This window comes from Homo sapiens, chromosome 5 (genome assembly GCF_000001405.40).
Source record: "Homo sapiens chromosome 5, GRCh38.p14 Primary Assembly".
In the NCBI taxonomy this organism is placed as follows: Eukaryota; Metazoa; Chordata; class Mammalia; order Primates; family Hominidae; genus Homo; species Homo sapiens.
This window is the reverse complement of record NC_000005.10, coordinates 178,373,120-178,393,050: the sequence shown is the minus strand read 5'-3', so window position 1 is coordinate 178,393,050 and position 19,931 is coordinate 178,373,120. Positions and strand designations below refer to the sequence as shown.

At 52.9% G+C, this 19,931-nt stretch overlaps 1 protein-coding gene and 1 pseudogene across 11 annotated transcripts in view, besides 7 other annotated features; one reads left to right on the top strand and one right to left on the bottom strand.

Annotated features, from left to right (window-relative positions):
* Positions 1–19,931, top strand: part of COL23A1 (collagen type XXIII alpha 1 chain) — a 352,776-nt gene that overhangs the window by 197,343 nt on the left and 135,502 nt on the right. The gene's annotated exons all lie outside the window — the stretch shown is intronic.
* Positions 5,372–6,190: an enhancer, noted in NCBI's record as "H3K4me1 hESC enhancer chr5:177813862-177814680 (GRCh37/hg19 assembly coordinates)". NCBI's record gives its function as "activates a minimal SCP1, AML or CMV promoter by ChIP-STARR-seq in naive H9 embryonic stem cells {active_cell/tissue: H9 hESC(naive)}" and the evidence as "EXISTENCE:reporter gene assay evidence [ECO:0000049][PMID:30033119]".
* Positions 7,315–8,131: an enhancer, noted in NCBI's record as "H3K4me1 hESC enhancer chr5:177811921-177812737 (GRCh37/hg19 assembly coordinates)". NCBI's record gives its function as "activates a minimal SCP1, AML or CMV promoter by ChIP-STARR-seq in primed H9 embryonic stem cells {active_cell/tissue: H9 hESC(primed)}" and the evidence as "EXISTENCE:reporter gene assay evidence [ECO:0000049][PMID:30033119]".
* Positions 8,132–8,949: an enhancer, noted in NCBI's record as "H3K4me1 hESC enhancer chr5:177811103-177811920 (GRCh37/hg19 assembly coordinates)". NCBI's record gives its function as "activates a minimal SCP1, AML or CMV promoter by ChIP-STARR-seq in primed H9 embryonic stem cells {active_cell/tissue: H9 hESC(primed)}" and the evidence as "EXISTENCE:reporter gene assay evidence [ECO:0000049][PMID:30033119]".
* Positions 8,950–9,767: an enhancer, noted in NCBI's record as "H3K4me1 hESC enhancer chr5:177810285-177811102 (GRCh37/hg19 assembly coordinates)". NCBI's record gives its function as "activates a minimal SCP1, AML or CMV promoter by ChIP-STARR-seq in naive H9 embryonic stem cells {active_cell/tissue: H9 hESC(naive)}" and the evidence as "EXISTENCE:reporter gene assay evidence [ECO:0000049][PMID:30033119]".
* Positions 9,768–10,586: an enhancer, noted in NCBI's record as "H3K4me1 hESC enhancer chr5:177809466-177810284 (GRCh37/hg19 assembly coordinates)". NCBI's record gives its function as "activates a minimal SCP1, AML or CMV promoter by ChIP-STARR-seq in naive H9 embryonic stem cells {active_cell/tissue: H9 hESC(naive)}" and the evidence as "EXISTENCE:reporter gene assay evidence [ECO:0000049][PMID:30033119]".
* Positions 11,808–12,614: an enhancer, noted in NCBI's record as "H3K27ac-H3K4me1 hESC enhancer chr5:177807438-177808244 (GRCh37/hg19 assembly coordinates)". NCBI's record gives its function as "activates a minimal SCP1, AML or CMV promoter by ChIP-STARR-seq in primed H9 embryonic stem cells {active_cell/tissue: H9 hESC(primed)}" and the evidence as "EXISTENCE:reporter gene assay evidence [ECO:0000049][PMID:30033119]".
* RN7SL646P (RNA, 7SL, cytoplasmic 646, pseudogene) lies at positions 14,831–15,127 on the bottom strand (annotated as a pseudogene).
* Positions 18,662–19,161: an enhancer, noted in NCBI's record as "H3K4me1 hESC enhancer chr5:177800891-177801390 (GRCh37/hg19 assembly coordinates)". NCBI's record gives its function as "activates a minimal SCP1, AML or CMV promoter by ChIP-STARR-seq in naive and primed H9 embryonic stem cells {active_cell/tissue: H9 hESC(naive and primed)}" and the evidence as "EXISTENCE:reporter gene assay evidence [ECO:0000049][PMID:30033119]".

Genomic DNA, 19,931 nt, shown 5'->3' with positions numbered 1-19,931 from the left:
CACCCGCTGTGGGTCCTTGGGCTCTTGTCCTGCCTGAGTCTCTCTGCAAAATGCAGATGGCTGAGCAGGTGGTTTTGAGCACCCAGTGAGGGAGGGCGTTCTGTACTGGTGAGGAGTTGCACTAACAGTGGTACTGCTGTCAGACACCTCCAAGGTGTTTCTCTTCAGCGCTGGCACACTCTTAGGTCTCCTTTCTCCTTTTCTTGCTTGGCCACGTTGGGTCTTGTTCTTCCTGAGGCCTCCTCTTCTAATGTGGCATTTTCTGTTGAACTGTCAATCTTCAGGTAACAATGTGGCTATTGGTAGGAGGGGTCTCACTATTACATTTGCAAGTGGTGAAAAGCTGAGCCGGCCATGGGGTAGCGTGATACATTTGGGAGCCGAATTTAGGCTGAGGGTGGCAGCAGGGACCATTGTCCGCTGGACCCTGCCATCCTGAGTGGACTTCCTGTGGCCTCGTGTCTCAGTAAGAAGGCAGAGAACACAGTTTCTGTCCCTTTGTGCTTCTGTGTGGATAAAACATTGCTGCTGTCCTGACAGTTAGCCAGGGCAATTCTGGAGGTGGCGTGGCCTTCTGTGCAGCCCTGTTTCGTTGTAAGGTTTTTGTGTTTCTGTTTGAAGATGTGTCTTGTAGATGCAGTTTCTTTAACATTTTAGAAGAAAGATGGGAATGCAGTAGGTGCATTGTTTGAAAGATATAAATAAGGTGAGTGTGCTCCGAGGACACCCAGGGCAGATTGTGATGCTGCGTCCGTGCGGGCTCAGCCATTCAGATTGCTTTTGCTTTATAACAATCTTAGGATATAACTCACTATACAGTTTACCCATGTAAAGTGCAGAAGTCAGTGGTTTTTATTATACTCACAGAGTAGTGCAACCAACACCACAATAAATTTTGGAACAATTCATCAACCAAAAAAAAAAAAAAAAAATAGCAGACACTCCTATTACTAGCCACCCATCATTTCCCCTCAAAGCCCCCAGCCCGCAGCAACCACTAATCTACTTTCTGTCTCTACAGATTTCCCTATTCCAGACATTTCATATAAATAGGATCATATAATACGTGACTTTCTGTGTCTGGCTTCTTTCACTTAGCGTAATGTTTTCAAGATTCCTGCATGTTCATCCCGGTGTCAGTACTTCATTCCTTTTAGTCTCAAATAATGTTTCATTGTATGAATATACCACATTTTATTTATCCATTGATCAGCTGGTGGACATTTGGATACTTGGACTTTTGGGCCATTTTTAATAATGTTGCTGTGAACATGGGCGTACAAGTGTTTGTATGGACAGATGTTTCATTTCTCTTGGGTAAATAGGAGCAGAATTACTAGATCGTATGGCAGTCTGTGTGAAGCCATTTGAGCACCTGCCAGACTGTCTTCCAAAGCTGCTGCAGCATTTTTTACATTCCCACCAGCTATGGATGAGGGTTCCAGTTTCCCCCCATCCTCACCAACATTTTTGACTGTCTGACTCTTTTATTCTGGCCATCCTAGTGGGAGTGAAGTGGTACTTTATCGTGGCTTTAATTTGCATTTCCCTGCTGTCTAATGACGTTTCCTATGTCTTCATGTGCTTAGTAACTATTTGTTTATCTTCTTTGGAGAAAGGTCCATTGACATCCTCTGCCTATTTGTCTTTTTATTGTTGACTTGTAAGAATCCTTTACGTATTATAGTTACAGGTCCCTTATCGGATATATGATTTGCAAATATTTTCTGCCATTCCATGGCTTATCTTTTTCCTTTTCTTCACGGTATCTTTTAAAGCAGTGGTCTCCAACCTTTTTGGTGCCATGGACTGGTTTCGTGGAAAACAATTTTTCCACAGACAAGGGTGGAAGGATGATGGTTTTGGAGGCATTAGATTCTCATAAGGAGTGCACAGCCTGGATGCCTTGCATGCATAGTTCACAATAGGGTTCATGCTCCTATGAGAATCTGATGCCGCTGCTGATCTGACAGAAGGTGGAGCTCAGGCGGTAATGCTCACTGTCCTGCCACTCACCTCCTGCTGTGAGGCCCGGTTCCTAACAGGCCACAAACTGGTCCACAGCCCAGGGGTTGGGGCCCCTGTTTTAAGGCACAAAAGTTTATTTGTTTTGAAATCCAGTTTATCTATTGCTCCTTTGGTTGCTTATGCTTTCGGTGTCATATTAACACACTACTGCCTAATACCAAGATCATGAAGATTTACACCTATGTTTTCTTCTAAGAGTTTGATAGTTTTAAGTCTTACATGTAAGTCTGATCCACCTGGAGTTAATTTCTACATATGGTGTGAGGCAGGGGTCCACTTTCATTCTTTTGCATGTGGATATCTAGCTGTGCCAGCACCATGTGTTGAAAAGACTGTTTTTCCCCATGGAATGGTCTTGGCACCCTTGTTAGAACAGACAAGTTTTAAAAACCTTATTGATTGCAGGACAGCAGCCTCCATGACAGGTGCTTGGTAACTCAGGTGCCCACAGATGGCACTGGGAGGCCTTGCAGGGGTCTCTATTGTGCTGTCTCTGCCCTTCATTGTCCTGTGCACTTTGGGGTGAGAACATGAGGGGGTTCTGTGCCAGGGGACCCTCGGGAGAGCAGCTGGTTAGAGGGGCTTGGTCAGCTCTTCTTTATGTGGCCATACCTTTCTGCCACACTGAGCCTGGAGTGCACCAGCAGGTGACCTGCCTCATGGCCATGTGCCTCCTTGCTCCCTGCTGTCCTCCTCCAGCCAGTTGTAGCTACAATGACCGTACATCCCACATGATCCAGACAGTCTCAGTGTATGCCTGTTCTTCCTGCAAGTTAGCCGGTCTCTCCCTCTCTTAAAATATCTTGGTTTGGATAGTAAATGATATATTCATCCTGGTCCTGTAGCAAGGACTGGGGTGAGAATGTCCATGGGGTTCAAACCAGTACCCTGAATCCAAGGCCAGCCTTCGTGGCCTCTGGTAGCTTTGAGAGGGAGAACAGAACTTTCTCAAAGCCTCAGCAGATGTGGCTTGGATCCCACAGATCCGTCCTGAGCACATTGTTGGCAGGACACATAGTCTCTGAGCACCCCGCTGCTAGCTCCTGCCGCCGAGCGTCTTTCCTGTAAGCATGTGAGATTAGTGGCAAGGGGGAGCTTACCGGTGTCTTGGCAGGGGCAGCCGGTGCCACTTCAGAACGGCTCAGGAGGGCTGGACGTAGCTGTTTCTCCACACACTGCCTGCATGTGCCCACCCGTCACGCAAGCAGTCAGCTTTGTATATTCATACCCACCTTGGGCTCACCAAGGCCACAGGGAGAAGCCATGTGACATGGAGCTCCTTGTCACTCTGCTGTCACTAAATGAAGAACAAAACACCTCTGGAGGAGGCCACAGACAGAAGGGAAAGGCACTTAACTCTACACATGGGAATCACATTATATACACATTTAACCAATGCAAGTCCACTTCTACGACTTGGGGGTGGAGGGAAGTCCAGCAAAACAAGAGATAACTCATTGAATTAGTGTCAGTGGGCACCCTCTGTGAGGAGGGATGAGAATGTGCAGCTCCCCAGTGGACATCAGCTCCTGCAGACCCTGTGTGAATGTCTCGCCATCTGGGTGAGGTCTGAAGCTTTTGTGCAGCTTAGTCGTGAAATGCAAACTGAAGCATCACTTTGACTAAATGCAGATGTTGCTGTGTGCTGTGAGTCTCTGTGTAACTGTCACACAGGGGAGAGTGTAGCCAAACCCACCTTTGGAAAGGGAATGGGAGAGGGCTTCCTGGAGGAGGTGGCCAGGAGGCTGTGTTGAAAGGGGCATTGGGACTTTGCTGGGTGGAGGAAAAGGAAAGCCGCTTCCAGGCAGCAAAAATTTTGTAAAGCCACACACTGAGGCAACGGGAGCGTGACAGCCAGGTTTGGGGAGTCAGTCAAGGCTGGGTTATGTAAAGCCACACACTGAGGCAACGGGAGCGTGACAGCCAGGTTTGGGGAACCAGTCAAGGCTGGGTTATGAAGGCTTCAATTGCCTTGGTAAGGAGTGTAAATTTTAGCCTTTAGTTAGTGATCCCCAAATCAGTGTCCCTGGAGCACCTGACTCATGAGATGTCCCTGCGGAAAGGGTTCCACAGTCACAGAAGTTTGGGAAATCTTATCGTATAATCCCCTCCAATCTCCACCTTAGAGAGCTGCAAGGGATGTTAGCATACTAAAGGCCCTGAGAAGTCCTGCAGTAAACTCCCTTTTGACTGGTTACTCAGGGCTTTGTGTTCTGAGGAAATAGGCAATAGGGAGCCACTGCAGGTTTCAGTGCAAGGGAGTGACAGCATCGGATGCCAGTGATGGGAGACAGGATGGCTGGGCTGGGCTGGAGGCAGGGAGGCCACTCGGTGGCCTGGTCACTGGATGAGTCAGAAGGCCCATCTCCACCGCTCCTGGATGTCTGGGAAGGGCCCAGCAAAATCACCAGGGGAGGAAGTTGATGACAGGCAGTGGGAGAGACAAGCAAGGAGACGGCCACTGATGCTGCAACCCACAGCCTCCTTCCTCTCCCAGCTGGGATCCCCTGGGCTGCTTCCAGGACTTGGGAGGAGCCGCTGAAGAACCAGCATTGCTTAAGTAAATGTAAGTCACTTGCTTAAGTAAGTGTAAGCCACCTCCTGAGCTGCCCCGCTGCAGGTTCCAGGGATACCTGCTTCCAACAGGCATATCTGGCCTTTCTTCACCTTTGAGAAGAGGGAACGTAAGATTAAATCCAACTCATCCCCATGCCACCCCAGCCCTAAATTCTTCAGCAGAGTGGAGAACTGGCTCTGCTGTGGGATTATCAGGACTAGCGCTAAAAGCAGGTCTTGCATCTCTGACAGACCTGCTTGCTGGAGGGAGACTTACATTTCAGGAGTCTCTGAAAAATTATCTGTTAAAGGCATTTCAGGGCAGGGAGCTTCTGAGACTCTGAGGCTGGGAACTTTACATCCAGCAATAACGGAAGGGCTCTGGCAGGTGAGCCTACTGGAAGAATCACACCGTGGAGAGCGTGCGCTGGGTGGACATGCCCTGAGGAGCAGTGTCGGTGGGCGGTGGCCATGGTGGCGGGGGGCTTTCTGCATCAATCTCCTCCCACTTGCCCATTTCTGTCCTTCACTGGCAGTTCTTGCAGTGCCACCACAGCTGCCACATCTTGGGAGGAGGCCTTGCAGGCAGGTTGCTTTTGGCTCCTTATTTTCTCCTTGGGCCCTCTTCCTTCCTGAGTATAAAAGCTGGGGGACAGAGGAGTGGGAAACTCCGCAAGCACAGCGCGGGGGAAAATGGCCCACACTGTCTGTAGGGAGAACTCAGACCCACTGCCTCATTGTCGTTCGTTCATTCATTAGCTCAGCGTGTATTTACTGAGTGTGTTCTTTGACCTTATCTTTGTATTCGTACTGGGGATAAAAGGTAAATGGTCATGAGCCTCTAGAAGTTATTGGTCCAGGAGGGGAGGCTCAGGCAAACCCCAAATACAGTCGGCTGTGAGGGCAGCCCTTGGAGCAGTGTGCAGAGCATACCCAGATGCAGCAGGCAGTTCCCGACCCTGCCAGGAGAGCTCATGGGCAGGGGTGCTCTGAGCTGCAGGAGGGCAGCAGGAACATGTCCGGTGGGTGGGTTTCGGGAGGAGCGCTCCTGTGGAGGGACCCACCTGGGCAAACGCACTGAGGCTTGACCCAGCAGTGTCTTAGAGACTTGTGAGCGGGTCAGTTTGACCAGGGCTGGACATTTGAAGGGCATGTGGAAGGAGACGAGGAAGAGAAGTGGGGAGTCTGGGCCCAGGCATAAGGGGTGATCACCAGGCTACAGAACGTGGCTTTCCTCGGTGAGGCTGTGTGTGGGGGCCATTGAAGACTCGGGCAGGGTTGCTGTGAGCTGTCAGCACCAGGATGGGTAAAATGAAAGAGAAAAGAGGGTGTTGTTGGTTCCAGACGGGGTGATGAGAAGCTGCCGTGGGAGAGAAATAAGGTGGGGGTGCAGAGTGCCAGGAAGTCGGACAGCAGGAAGCCTGGAGCGAGAGACGAAACCTGGAGCTGAAGTCCAGAGGCAAAGCCGAGGTCAGCCTGTGGGTATTTATTGCACCCATCCTAATAGTGCAATATTGGAAGCCACTCAAATGTCTGATGATACTGGGCAATGGCCGAGGAAGTTACCAGGCATCCGATCAGTGGCACAGCATAGAGCCAGTGAGCATCAGGGCAAAAGAAGGTCACCTCCCCACGGCCATAGGAGTGTGCGTCCTGTTCTCTCCCAGGCTCTTGCTCCCCAGGAACCGAGGTTCAGTCCTTTCTGCTCCTGGAGCCCATGGTGTCTGCTCAGACTCCTGACGGGGCAGGGGTAGGCGGCGGGGACCCTTCTGCGCTGATAACGCTTCCCTCCCACCGGGTCTCAGTGAGCTGTGGGGGCGGGGGAGTTCACGGAGGAAAACAGACCCCCACTTTATCAAACACTCACCCACCCCGACCCCCCTCTGGTGACACACAGACTCATATCCTCATCTCAACAGGCTGAAGCAAATGGCCAAAAATGGAAATATTTGTGCTAGGTTGGTGGGATTGTGAGTGAGTCTTATTCCTAATATTTCCTGAAATAGTGTATTGCGTTTTTTTTTTTTGGAGACGGAGTCTCGCTCTCTCTGCCAAGCTGGAGTGCAGCGGTGCAATCTCAGCTCACTGCAACCTCCGCTTCCTGGGTTCAAGCGATTCTCCTGCCTCAGCCTCCCAAGCAGCTGGGACTACAGGCGCATGCTTCCATGCCTGGCTAATTTTTTGTATTTTAGTAGATACGGGGTTTCACCGTGTTGCCCAGGCTGGTCTCAAACTCATGAGCTCAGACAATCCACCCGCCTTAGCCTCCCAAAATGCTAGGATTACAGGTGTGAGCCACGGCGCCTGGCCTATGTTGTATTTTTAATAATAATATTGGAAAAACATACCCACATACACGAAGCCCGGGTTGGATACAAGCATTGTATTATAGCCTGCAATGCAAGCTTTCATTTCTCCAGCTGCCTATTAATGCTGCTGTGGATCTGCAAATTCTATGCACTCTGCCTTCTTCTGCTTTGGTACTAGATGGTTAGGACACATGGATTTTCATTTCCCGAGAAATGTCAGCTGTATTACGACTGTAGGGAAAATCAGTGAAATATTGTATGAAATCCCAGACTAAAACAGGTTGAATACATCTTTTGAAAATCCTGGCAGCCGACACGGGAACTTTCTGATCCCAGAGGTCCTGGTTTTATTATCAGATGCCTTTGAAGGTGGGTGAGCTTAGCTCTGGCCTCTGTGGAGCATCCTCTTTGGATTGGGTGTTTCCTACGTCAGTTTGCTCTGTGAACCCAGGTGTGAGTCAACATCAAGCCACGACGTGTGGCAGATGATGCGCTTAACGTCCTCAGACAGCCAGTCACCAGTCTGTGGGAAGCTTCGGGGGAAGGGCATGAGAGTAACTTCCTAACGTGCACACGGCCAGGGTCACAGGGAGAGCAGGGCCACCCCGGCTCGGTGCCCAGCACCCTCCTGGAGGAGACCGGCCAGGCTCCAGGGGCTCCAACAGTCTGGAGCCTGGCTGCACTCACGTCCTAAGAGAAATAAGGGGCAAAGAAACTGAGTCAGGCACCAGCACAAACATTTCCATTTTTGGCCATTTGCTTCCAGCCTACTGACATGAAGACGTGTGGGCCTGTGGGGGTGGTGTTTGATAGAGCAGGGGTGTTTCCCTCTGTGAATTCCCCGCGTCCACAGCTCACTGAGACCTGGGGGGAGGGAAGCATTAGCAGCTCAGAGGGGTCCCCGCAACCCACCCTGCCAGAGCGGAAGGCCCAGTAAGGAGAAGAGTCTGAGAGGCTCCAGGAGCAGAAAGGACTGAGCCCCAGTTCCTGAGGAGTGAGAGCCCAGGAGACAGCAAGTCCCACACTCCTATAGCTGTGGGTGATAACCCCACCCCAATGCTTGTTCCCCAGCTGTGACAACATGAGTCCAGCCACCAGGGGCTGCCACAGAAGACTACCCCGTCAGGACCTGCTCAGGCTCTAGGGACAGAGCCCCCGGCGTGGAGTGGGCTGGGCAGCCCAGTGTGGTGGCTTGGATGGGGCAGGCAGGGAGGCTGGGCACAGGGAAGGAGCGGGAGCCTCGCCACCCATTTGACCTCTCACCGCGCTCTTCCTCCTTGCAGGCTATTTCCCGCTTTTCTGTTACGGACCTTTTAATGCTTTAGGAAAAGGCACAGCCATTTCCCTCAGGGGGACTCCAAGCCCCAGGCTGTTCTGGGCCGTCCCCGGGTGGTACAAGGGTCGTGGTGGCTGTTATATGTGCACCCTGTGAGCGCGCACTCTGATTCAGTGGGTGAGGCCCCCAGGAGGCTTCTGGCTCTGAAACTGGACGCATCTGAGTCCAAGTCCCGGCCCTGCCCCCTCTGAGCCTTGGTTTCCCATGTCAAACCGTGATCTCTGAGGCAGGAGCAGAATCAGCGCAGGAGCAGGGAGGGAAGTAAGGCACGCCGGCCCCTGCACAGTGCCCGGTGGGCCGCTGGAGAGGGATGCACTCAGCGCCGTCCACGTGGCCTCCAAAAAGCCGAGGGAGGGGTGGGCAGGGAGGAGAGGTCTGGCTTGGAAAGCCGAAGCCTGGTTTACTACCCGGATGAACAGCCCCGGGCTTTCCTGAGGCTTCACCTCATGTCAAGACTGAGCAGCCAACACCTCGTGAAAGCTGGTTTATGAGAAAACGCCAGGCAGTGGCCAGGCCGGGCCTCCGTCGCCGGATCCAGGTTTTGAGAACTGCCCTGGGCGGGGAGCTGCGTGCATTTGCGATCGCAGCTCAGCTCGCAGCAGCGTCTGGCTCCACGCTGCTCTCGTTGTCACTATCTTAAAAGTGCCGCCCCTGACCCTGCCTCTCGGTCTTCTCGATGGCCAGCCTTATTTTACCATCACCCCTTTCTAGAGAAGAGGGGTCTTTGCAGAGAGGTGGGACCTGCCTGGCCGTGGCAGGAGATGCAGCCCAGGCTTGCACAGGCCGCCTGGTGGAGTCCTGGGCCCCCGTGTCACACAGCGTGGCCTCGTTTGCTAACAGGATGGATAACAGGTTTCCATTTTGATCTTCTCTTAACTCTCTAGCCATTCATGTCTATCTTTTTCTGAGATTCTTTTCGTCTCTGCCTTTTTTTTTTTTTTCTATTTCTGTCGTAAGGTTTGCTTTTACCATGTCCAGCGTGAGGCCACGGGGAGGTGACCACACAAAGGAGTGCCTGAAGTCATGCACGGTTTTCCCAGAGGCCCTGCAGGCCATTTAAGGATGCCCCAAAACCTCACCCCAGGGGGCTCCCGGCTAACACTGAAGGACTGTGATTGTGCATGCAGACTTGGAGAACGATGCTCCAGCTCCAGGCCGAGGGCCCAGGTTCCCACGAAAAGTCCTGGGACACAAGTCACGGCTGATGGGGGGCTTCTCCAACCCCAAGCCCACCTCCCCAAGAAACAACGGGACAGTCTTCTGGGGCTGAGTCCCTGGAGAATGGGGTAACCAGCATCCCAAATTGGGTGCCAGGCCTGCAGGTGGCAGAGACCTTAGAGCTAACTTCCCTGGGAGCCGGGAAGGGGCCGGCTGGGCCATGACTGGGGAACAAGCTGGACCAAGGGAGCCACCCTTGACCCCTTAAGGGGACTTGTCCTGGTTTCCTGACCACAGACTGGGTCAGGGCTGGGCCCTTGTCTGTAGAATTCTGATCAGGTGGGGTAGAGATAAGGCAGGCCATCTCTGCGGGAAGCTGGTCCCAACAGGAGCTGAGCATGTGGCCTAGGACATGGTTCTCAAAGTGCAGTTCCCAGACCAGTAGCCGCAGCACCTAGGAAAGTTCCAGAAAGTGGAAATGCAAATGGCTGGGCTGCACCCAGAGCTGGAGGAGGGGGAGGGGGAGGCAGCAGCCTGGGTTCTGACAAGTCTGCCAGCAAGCTCCTATGCATCTCAAGTCCGGGAACCATGCACCAGCAGCCCCCAGCCCTGATCACAGACACCCCCTGGCTCCTGTCAGCTTTTCAGGAGCCCAGCCAGCCCCGACAGGTGGAGTCTCTCACCTCCCCAGGTCTGCACTGGAGTGGGCCCCCCTCCCTCCTGTCCTCAGCTCCTCCCCACCCCCTGGTTGCCACCTGGTTTCACTTGACTTCCAGGCCAGCCGAGGAGCCAGGCCTCCCCGAGTCACGGCTTACACTCAGCCTTCTGACTCCTGCCAAGGCGGTGGGGAGGGGTGTGTGGGCCCAGAGCCAGGGCGCTTCTGAACCGTCTCCCTGAGCTGTGCTTCTCCCTCTTCAGTGCCCCCGAGTCCTGGGCCTGGGGCTCTCTTTTCCATGTCATACCCCTCTGGGGCTAAGGCCCCATCTCCCAACTCCTGGGACTGGAGGGGCTTAAGAACATAATGAGACTTTGCGGGAGGGGACACAGTTTCTCCACCCACCTTTGGTGCTGGGCTGCCCTCCTCACCCCCCACTCTGGCCATGGTGGGGTATCGGTTCACCCTACTCTTCCCCGTCGCCTACCCTCAGGTCCCGCCTCCTCCAGGTCTCTCCCTGTCCCCTGCCCCAGCCTGGCATTAGGTGATTCCCACCTTCTAGCCCAGCCTCCAGAGGAGGAGGAGGGCGAAGGGGCGTTTCCAACATGATTCTCATCCTTTCTGTCCATATATATTAACACTAGGCCTGCCGGTGCCCACAGAAAGAACCTGATTCGGAAACAAACACAAAAGCCCTGGAGGTTGACCAGTTGACCCACCCTTACCACCCTGACACTCCCTCCAGGCAATGTGGGTGATGATCAGCCGCAGCAGCTGCAGCTGGGACTCTGTGCCCCCACCACTCTTGTGTGACCCTCAGCAGACACCCAGCCTCTCTGAGCGTCGGCCTCTCAGCTGAGAAACCTCAGCCCCCCAGGGACTGTGCCAGAATGCCCCACCCATTCCCCCCGAAGATTCCAGTGCGGACTGAGAACCGAAACCCAGAAATAGGCATCTCTGTTGGTCAGACCATCTCACATGGAGACTCGAGGGCAAGACTAACCTGCCCTCAGAATGCCTAGGATTCCCACCGGAGGGGGCACAGGCCAATTTGATCCAAAAATTCCAGGCAATGCTGGGTGTGATGGTTCGTGCCTGTAATCCCAGCACTTTGGGAAGCCGAGGCGGAAGGATGGTTTGAGCTCAGCAGTTCAAGAACAGTGAGGGCAATAGAGGGAAATCCCATCTCTACACAGCATTTAAAAATCAGCCGGGCGTGGTGGCACCCACCTCTATTCCCAGCTACTCAGAAGGCCGAAGCGGGAGGATTGCCTGAGCCGGGGAGTTCAAGGCTGCAGGGAGTCACGATCATGCCACTGCACTCCAGCGTAGGCGACACAGCAAGACCCTGTCTCAAAAAAAACCACTCCAGGCCAGATCACCCTCTGTGTGGCTAGGCCTGGGCCCGGAGACACAGAATTCCCATATGGCATGACAGCCTGCTGCTCTGTATACCATTCCGTCCTCACTAACACAAATGCATGGATAGATGGTAACAGCACAGCTCAGGTGAAACCACCCACAGACCAGCGACAGGCAGGACCCTCTCTCCCGGTGGTGCTGGTGTCCCAAGCAGCTGGTCCTGCTGGCATGGACACACCTTCTGCTCTGAGTGGCACTTCTCAGCCTTCTCGCCATCCCCATGGCCATCGTACTTGCTGGCCTTCCCCTGTGGAAGGTGGGAGTAGGGGAGCCGGCAGGGTCCCCTGGGCTGGTGCAGCTTCCACACTTCCCTACATCCTGAGGAGGGCCAGCTGCTGGCTTAACTGTTCTTCTTTCCCAAGTCCGAAGGGACCTTTGTAAGCCACCCCCTAATTATTTGTTGAAGGCAACGTCACCAATCCTCACAGGTGGAGTGGATGAGTGAGGGGCAGGGAGTGGCAGAACCCCACTCCACTTCAGTGACTGTGGCCATGCCAGACCCTCTAGGCCCAGGTAGGCCAGGGCCCCTTGATTTTCCAGGTGAAAACTTGCAAAATTAGGACTTGACGATGAAATCTGCCTGGTAGCACTGGCCACGGATCGGAATGGGCCTAGCTAGATGTGCCTGCCGGCTGGGTGGGCCCACACATCTCCAGGGTGCGTCTTTGCCCTGCCCTCCCCACTCCCCTGCCCTGCTCAGCCTTGGCCTCAGCTGTCCCCACACCCGCTGCCCTGGAAGGCTGTCCTGGCAGAAAGCACTCATATTGTGACCCTGCTCAGCAGGACGCTGGGGACAGGTGAAGTCCCTGCCTTTTCTCTCCTCCCTCTCACTGCGGCTGGTCCCGACATTGGCCCCGGACGTGATCCTCCCTGCCTCTGTCCCGGCCGTCCTCTTAGCCAGGGCCGTGCTGTTCATACCACCTCCTTCATTGGCTCAAATGCCACTTCCCATTCACTCATTCTGGTTTTAAAACGTTGAAAAACATTTCCACGTAGAAATGTATACATTCTGTTAAAAATAATGAATAATGAGTGAAATCAACTGCGACTGAAAAATCAAAACTTGGAACTCCTGATCAGCAGCTGTGGTGACAGTGCCTTTTCCCCTTCAGCAGAAAAAGAAAGAAAATATGAGAGAAGTACAAAAACAGGAAAAAAGCATACACACACACACACACACACACACACACACAAATGCATGCTCTAGAAATCCAAGGATAAGTTTTACGTGGCTGCACTGGAGTGTCCACATCCCACTGCTGGGCCCCGCCTTGGTGTGCCACATTGGACCCCCTCATCTAGGTCACCTGTGACCCAGAGTTGCAGTCCCCCCCAGCAGGTTCTGGTCTTCATCCTGCTCCAACACTAGGCAGCAATTGACCCATTGACTTTCCACACCCTGCTGTCTGTGGCTTCTACAGATAAATAAAACCATTCCTCAGTGGTAAAAAGGGCTTCAGCAAAACAGGCCACATGTAGAATTTTGTGTATAGATCATCACGGTTCACAAAACACAGGTCATGTTGGAGGCAGCATCGGTTCAGGAACTAGCCCTGAAAGTCTGTGGAGCCTGGTTCCAGCTCCAACCTGAGGCTGTGGGGCCTCCCTGACCTTCAGTTTCCTCATCTATAAAATAAGGTTGAACTAAATGGGTAGTTATTTTTCCTTGTTTTTGTTTTCTTTTTCTTTTCTTTTTTTTTTTTTTGAGATGGAGTTTCGCTCTTGTTGCCCAGGCTGGAGTGCAATGGCGTGACCTCTGCTCACCGCAACCTCCGCCTCCTGGGTTCAAGCAATTCTCCTGCCTCAACCTCCCTAGTAGCTGGGATTACAGGCATGCACCACTAGGCCCAGCTCATTTTGTATTTTTAGTAGAGACAAGGTTTCTCCATGTTGGTCAGGCTGGTCTCGAACTCCCGACCTCCGGTGATCCGCCCACCTCGGCCTCCCAAAGTCCTGGGATTACAGGTGTGAGCCACCACACCCAGCGTGTTTTCATTTTTATAGTTCTAGGTTTTTCTCTATTAATTACAGGGGTAATACATGAATTCTTGCTTACTGTAAACAAAAGTAATACAAAAAGTACCAAAATACAGAGAATAATGTGTCAAAGGCTGCCTTCATCCCTGCAAGACCCCTCTGCCCAGAGGTCCCACTATTACCAGATTCATGTGTGTCCATCCAGGCCTCTTTCTCTGCATGTACACACACAGAGGTACACAGTGCACGTAGAGAGTTTTGTTTAGTATTTTTCTGCTTGTTTCACTTTTCCAGTCCTAGCATCTACGGTCAACAGTGCTGACTCATGAGATACCTTTCAAGTTTTGGTTAAATGAATAAGGGTTTTTTTTAGTTGATCACTATGTCTTGGAGAGCTTTCTGGTTTGTTTGTTTTTTTTAATTGTCTCATAGATACACAATAATTTAATCAAATTTCTCTAGTGCAGGTTCACAATCTGTTAGCCAAACCCTTTGAGCTTGACGTGTGCAGAATTCAGAATCCTTCTGGGGCAGCTCCCATAACCAGACAGGCTAATGTTTCTGCAGTGAAATGTATAAACACACCCGCAAGTGAGATAAATAAAGTCTAGAAACAGCCTCACATCAATCTGGCTTGCCTCCAACTGAAAACTACTCCAGTTTAACATAAACTCTTGGCTCTTAGAGCTTTTGGGATTCCAAATAAGAGAAGGATGGGGTCTCTGTGTGGAGCCTCAGTCAGACCTGTTGGGCAAGCTTGGCCAAGCCTGGGTCTGCCTCAGGATCTTCCGTCCTGCGGCCGCTGCCACCTGCCAGCGGTCTCCATTCACCCTGTCCTTGAGCCTTGGTGATGAGGGTCCTTCCTCACCCTGAGGCAGGTGACCTTTCCCAGGAGGCACCAAACCTCCCTGGGCACTCAGCGCTGCTCCATCCCTGCGTATCCTGCAAACTGCCCGGCCCCACCCCACATCCCATCAGCTCTGTTCATTGTCGCCTCTGCGGGGGAACTTCTCCCATCTCCACGCCACCTTCTCCCTCTTGGGTTGGTGTTAGTGACCTCCAGCCCTAACCCTCACTTGAGCTCTGGTTTTACTACTCTGATCACACTGGATTTACCAAAAACCCATATGCCAATTCCCAGTTAGGCTTCCCAGCCCTGCCCTTCTTGCCACTCCCTCCAGTCAGCGGCAGAAGTACAGGTCCCATACCGGTATCGTCCTGCTTGAGGAGGCCCACTTGCTGTGGGGCATGGACTGCAGTCCTCAGGGGGTGCAGGAAAACCCTGAAATGGGGCAGACTGAGTGTCTGTGCACATGTGCATTTTCCCAGGGCTCTGTGGGGCCTGTTATCCCCTTGGAGAGCTACCACTGTGGCTCTTTTTACTTTTTAAAAGATGGGGTCTCACTATGTTGTCCAGGCTAGAGTGCAGTGGCTGTTCACAGACACAGTCCCACTACTGATCAGCATGGGATTTCAACCTGCTCTGCTTCTGACCTGGGCCGGATCACCCCTCCTTCGGCAACCTGGTGGTCCCCTTCTCCTGGGAGGTCACCATATTGATGCCAAACTTACTGTGCACACTCAGTCAGCATTGTGCACTTCAGCCCGGAGCTCGTGGGCTCACCGATCCTCCTGCCTCAGCCTCCTGAGTGGCTAGGAACACAGACACGTGCCATCGTGCTTGGCACACTGTGGCTCTTGAGTAAATCCCTTCTCCCAATGACCCCTGCCTGCTTCTCCAGTGTCTTCTCCACCGTGTGTCGTGGGCCCCAGCTCCTGCCACACACACAGGATGGCTCACCAGCCCCTAAAGCGCCTTCCACTGGCCACCTCTACGCAGGAGTCCCCTCGGCCTGCCCTGCACCTGCTCTCTCGGCCTCCCGGTGACAGACTGTGACCGTGACTCGCGCGCTTGTCCACACCACCTCCACGCCACTCCCATGGCTTCCCACACCCCTGAAGATCGAAGGTCCAGGGGAGGATGGCACCGCCTTGGAGATGGGGTTGGGATGGGGAATTGCACCCAGGGAAGTTAGGCTTGAGGATCCTAGGACACATGGCCGGTGGCAGAGGGTGAAGAAAAGGCAAAAGGCCCAGGATGACACGTCTGGCTGTGTGGTGAGTTTTCACTAGTGAGTTTGGGTAGACCCATGTCGGGACTGACTGCCGAATGCCTTGGGCTGATTCTCCAGAAGCAGTGGGGTGGCCCCGGCCCCTGGAGATGAGGGCCAGAATTTCACTTCTTAAAACACCAGGCAGTTCATGCCTTCCCTTGGAAAAGGAAGGAGGAACACACTGCCTTTGCACAGCCAGGAAGGAAAGACATGGCATGTTCAGGGGAGGCAGCTCTGTGTCTGACAGATGTGAAACACCAGCCCGTTACGGGAGAAGATCTGTTGGAATTACGTTAATCATAGCTCTGCTGGGTGGATGCTGGTTCCTACCCGCTGCCCACTGCTGACTCAGACGCTTTCCTGTGCGTGGCCCGCGTAGTCCCATCAATCTGCAACCGGCTCCCTGTCAGACCCCATGAAACAGGCTGCGGGGCATCGCATTTGTCCTTGAGACATCCTCCAGCCGGTGACCCCTTCAAGAGGTGATGAGTAGTCCAGTTTCTGTGGTTCCTGGTGTGCCGAGGGGAGGGAGGGCTTTTGTGCATTTATCAGCCTTTTCGGGGGAAGATAAAAGTGGCCAGGGTTCACTTTGATGAAGTCATGGGAGGCAGCCTTTTGCTATTTCCCTTTCACTCCTGTCCTGCTAAGCCCTAATTTAGCCTCCTTGGCACTTTTGTCCCCAGCAGTGCTTATCTTGGCAGTAAACAGGGCATGACTTTCGCCTTGCAGATGGCGGAGGGTCTCAGCTGCATGTGGAAGCTTGCACCCCTTACACAAAGAAGCATCTGGTTCCACTGTCTCCTAGCTGTGTGGCCTTGGGCATGTTCCCTCACCTTTCAGAGCTTCCGATTTCTCTTCTATTAAATGGAAGTAAGAGGCCTAACTTGCAGGATTGCTTGAGAATTACAGGTGGTGTATCTAAAGCACCTAACTCAGTGCCTGGTTCCTAAAGAGCAGCTATGGTCATCTGCTGCCCTTTGTCTAGAAGACCAGGGGCACCAATGCAGTGCAGGGGGTCTCCCCAGCACCAGGCAGTGGGGGGCCTCACACCCAACTCCCTGTCCCAGCTGTGGTCCCTGGGGCAGGTCACCTAACCTCTCTGAGCCATCATGTCCCACCTGAGAAACGGAAATGATAATACCTACTTCTCAGAGATGTGAAGACAGAGTTCCTTCTCACATGTTCACCGAGCACCAACCAATAGCAGAGAATACCTAAATAACAAAACAGACGGAAACCCGGATCCGATGGCATGCCCGTTTAGCAAGGGGACAGACAAATCATGAATATAATAAGCATGCCCTGTAGTACTTTAGAAGATGACAAGTGCTATGGAAAAGAGAAAGCACAGATGAGACTGTGCCTTCATCACACTGGGATGTGGCGTGTGCAGAGTGGGATATTAAATAGAGTAGGGAGGCAGGGCCAGGGGTCCCCCTGGGAGGAAGACATTTGAGCCACAACTTACAGCTGTAGAAAAGGGAATGGGAGCCGGGCGTGGTGGCTCACGCCTATAATCCCAACACTTTTGGAGGCCGAGGCGGGCAGATCACTTGAGGTCAGTAGTTCGAGACCAGCTGGCCAACATGGTGAAACCCTGTCTCTACTAAAAATACAAAAATTAGCCAGACATGGTGGCAGGCGCCTATAATCCCAGCTACTCGGGAGACTGAGGCAGAAGAATCACTTGAACCTGGGAGGCGGAGGTTTCAGTGAGCCAAGATTGTGCCACTGCACTCCAGCCTGGGCAACAGAGGCAGACTCCGTCTCAAAAAAGAAAAAAGAAAGAAAGAAAAGGGAATGGGTCAAGTGGATTTCTGGTGGAGACGGGGATCCAGCACAGGGGCCACCTCAGTGAGCAAGCGTTTGCCTGGTGAGACTGAGGTCAGCAAGGTGGGAGAGAAGTAAGACGGGAAAGCAGGAACGAGGCTGTCGGAGGGGCAGGGCGGGACCACGCAGGGCCTTTTGGGCCATCGTGAGGTGAGACCATCGACTCTGTGTGAGACAGAAAGTCATTGCAGGGTTCCGAGAGAAAGGCCAAGTTCTGATTTAGGTTCTTACAGGGTCACCCTGGCTGCCATGCGGAAGACAGGATGCAGGGCAAGGTGGTGCCTGGAGGCAGTCGGTAGGGTTTGGAGAATCCAGGGGAGAGATGTCCGTTTTAGGACCTTTTCATCCCCTGCGGAAGAAAGCCCATGCCCTGTAGCTATTATCCCCCACCTCCCCTCCTCTCCCCCAGCCCCTGCCAACCACGAGTCTACTTTCTGTCCCTGTGGATTTGTTCATTCTGGACATTTCCTAGAAATGGACTCCTGCAGCGTGTGACCTTCTGTGGTTCATGTCACTTCCCATCATGTTTTCAAGGTTCGTCCATGTTGTGGCAGGTAGCATGTTGCAGCTTTCGATGGCAGAGTGATATTCTGGTGTTCAGATCAACCACATTGTCTTCATCCGTTCATCAGCTGACGGTGATTTCGGTTGTCGCCACCTTTTGGCTGTTATACGTATGCTTCTATGAACATTTGTGTGCAAACTTTTTCTGGATATATGTTTTCATTTCTCTTTGGCTACTTGATTATGGGTTATTGGTTATTGGGGTTATTCAATAATTTGACTCCTGATGCCTCGAGGAGTGGAATTTCTGAGTCTCAGGGTAACTCTGTGCTTAGCTGTTTGATTAAGCTGCCAGACTGGCTTCCAAAGTGGCTGCACCATTTCACGTTCCCACCAGCCATGTATGAGGGTTCCAGTCGTGCCACGTTGCACCAACACCTGTTATTATCTGACTTTTGATTGCAGCCATCCTAGCAGGTGGGAAGTGGTTTTAACTAACAGGTTTTCAGCGCTTACTAAAGCTGGACACTGACAACACCTTCACTCATCTAAACTCTTACAGCAGCCCAGTGAGGTAGGTGCTGTTCTCATTTCACGGATGAGGAAACTGAGGCACAGAGAAGTCACAGGTGGCAGAGCTGGAATGCAAACCCAGGCAGTCTGGTTCCCAAGCCCATGATTTTAACCGCACTCAAAAACCTTACGGAGGCGTGGGGGGCACAGCCACGAGCTGCTGTCCACGGTGTCTGTGGTAAGGGCAGCAGCAGAGATAGGCAGGCAGTGGTGACCATTATGAGGCGTCAAGGAAGTGACTGTTGAACTGGGCCTGGAAGGGAGAGGAAGAGTTTGTGCAGTGGAGAGAGGTGGAGGGAAGGGCACCTCAGGGATAGAAGGGTTGCAGAGGGAAGGGTGTGCAGAGGCTGGGAGGAGCAAAGATTGGCTCAGGTTATCACGGAGCATCAGCCATGCCCTTGCTGCCACCATTAATGTACTCATTACTCTGTGATCTATTCAGCAGATAGCCTTAGATCCACTGTCTCCATCTTGGTAGAAGCTGGCGTGTGCTGAGAATTGTACCCTTGCGCATCCTTGTGAGTAAAATTGGACTCAAAGGTGCATATGACCTGTGAGAACGCGTCCAAATCAACCGACAGAGAAAACTGAGAAGTTGAAGGGTGCGGGCGCCGGTGCTGCACTTCCCCTCCGGCCCCACTCGTGCCTGCCCTGCTCTCCTCAGGCGAGGCCCTGCCCAGATATGTTCAAAGCGAGCTCTGACTGCCCTGCTCTGCCACACGGTGCCTGGTGACAACTTCGGCACCCACCTCTCCTGAGGGAGGCAGCCCCCTGGGACGAGGATGGGAGGAAACAGGGTGAGCAGCATGTCAGGATTATGCCAGCAACTGGGTTTTGTCCAGATTCATCTCTTCAGGTTAAAGTGCACGGCAGGGCCAAGGACGGTGGCTCACACCTGTAATCCCAGCACTTTGGGAGGCTGAGGCAGGCGGATCACCTGAGGTCAGGAGTTTGTGACCAGCCTGGCCAACATGGTGAAATCCCGTCTCTACTAAAAATAAAAAAAGTAGCTGGGCTGATGGCAGGAGCCTGTAGTCCCAGCTACTTGGGAGGCTGAGGCAGGAGAATCACTTGAACCTGGGAGGCGGAGGTTGCAGTGAGCCGAGATTGCACCACTGCACTCCAGCCTTGGGCAACAGAGGGAGAGTCTGTCTCAAAAAATAAAAATAAAAATAAAAAATAAAGTGTGGGGCAGGACACCTTGGAGGTTCGCGCCTGGGCTGCACTGAGAACGGCAGTCAGTTCTGCGGAACCCAAACGAGGGCGCTGCCCTTGTCCTGTGCCCATCTCACAGCCATGGCAACCCTGTGGTGTTACTGCTGCTGTGCCCATTTTATAGCTGAGAAAACCAAGGCCAGGAGAGGCACCAAACCCAGTGGGGGTCCAAGGGCACAAGGCCAGCTGGTGAGTGGCAGTCAAACCCATGTCAGTGTTTTGGGGTCTTGTTAAGCCTGTGCTTTTTACCAAGG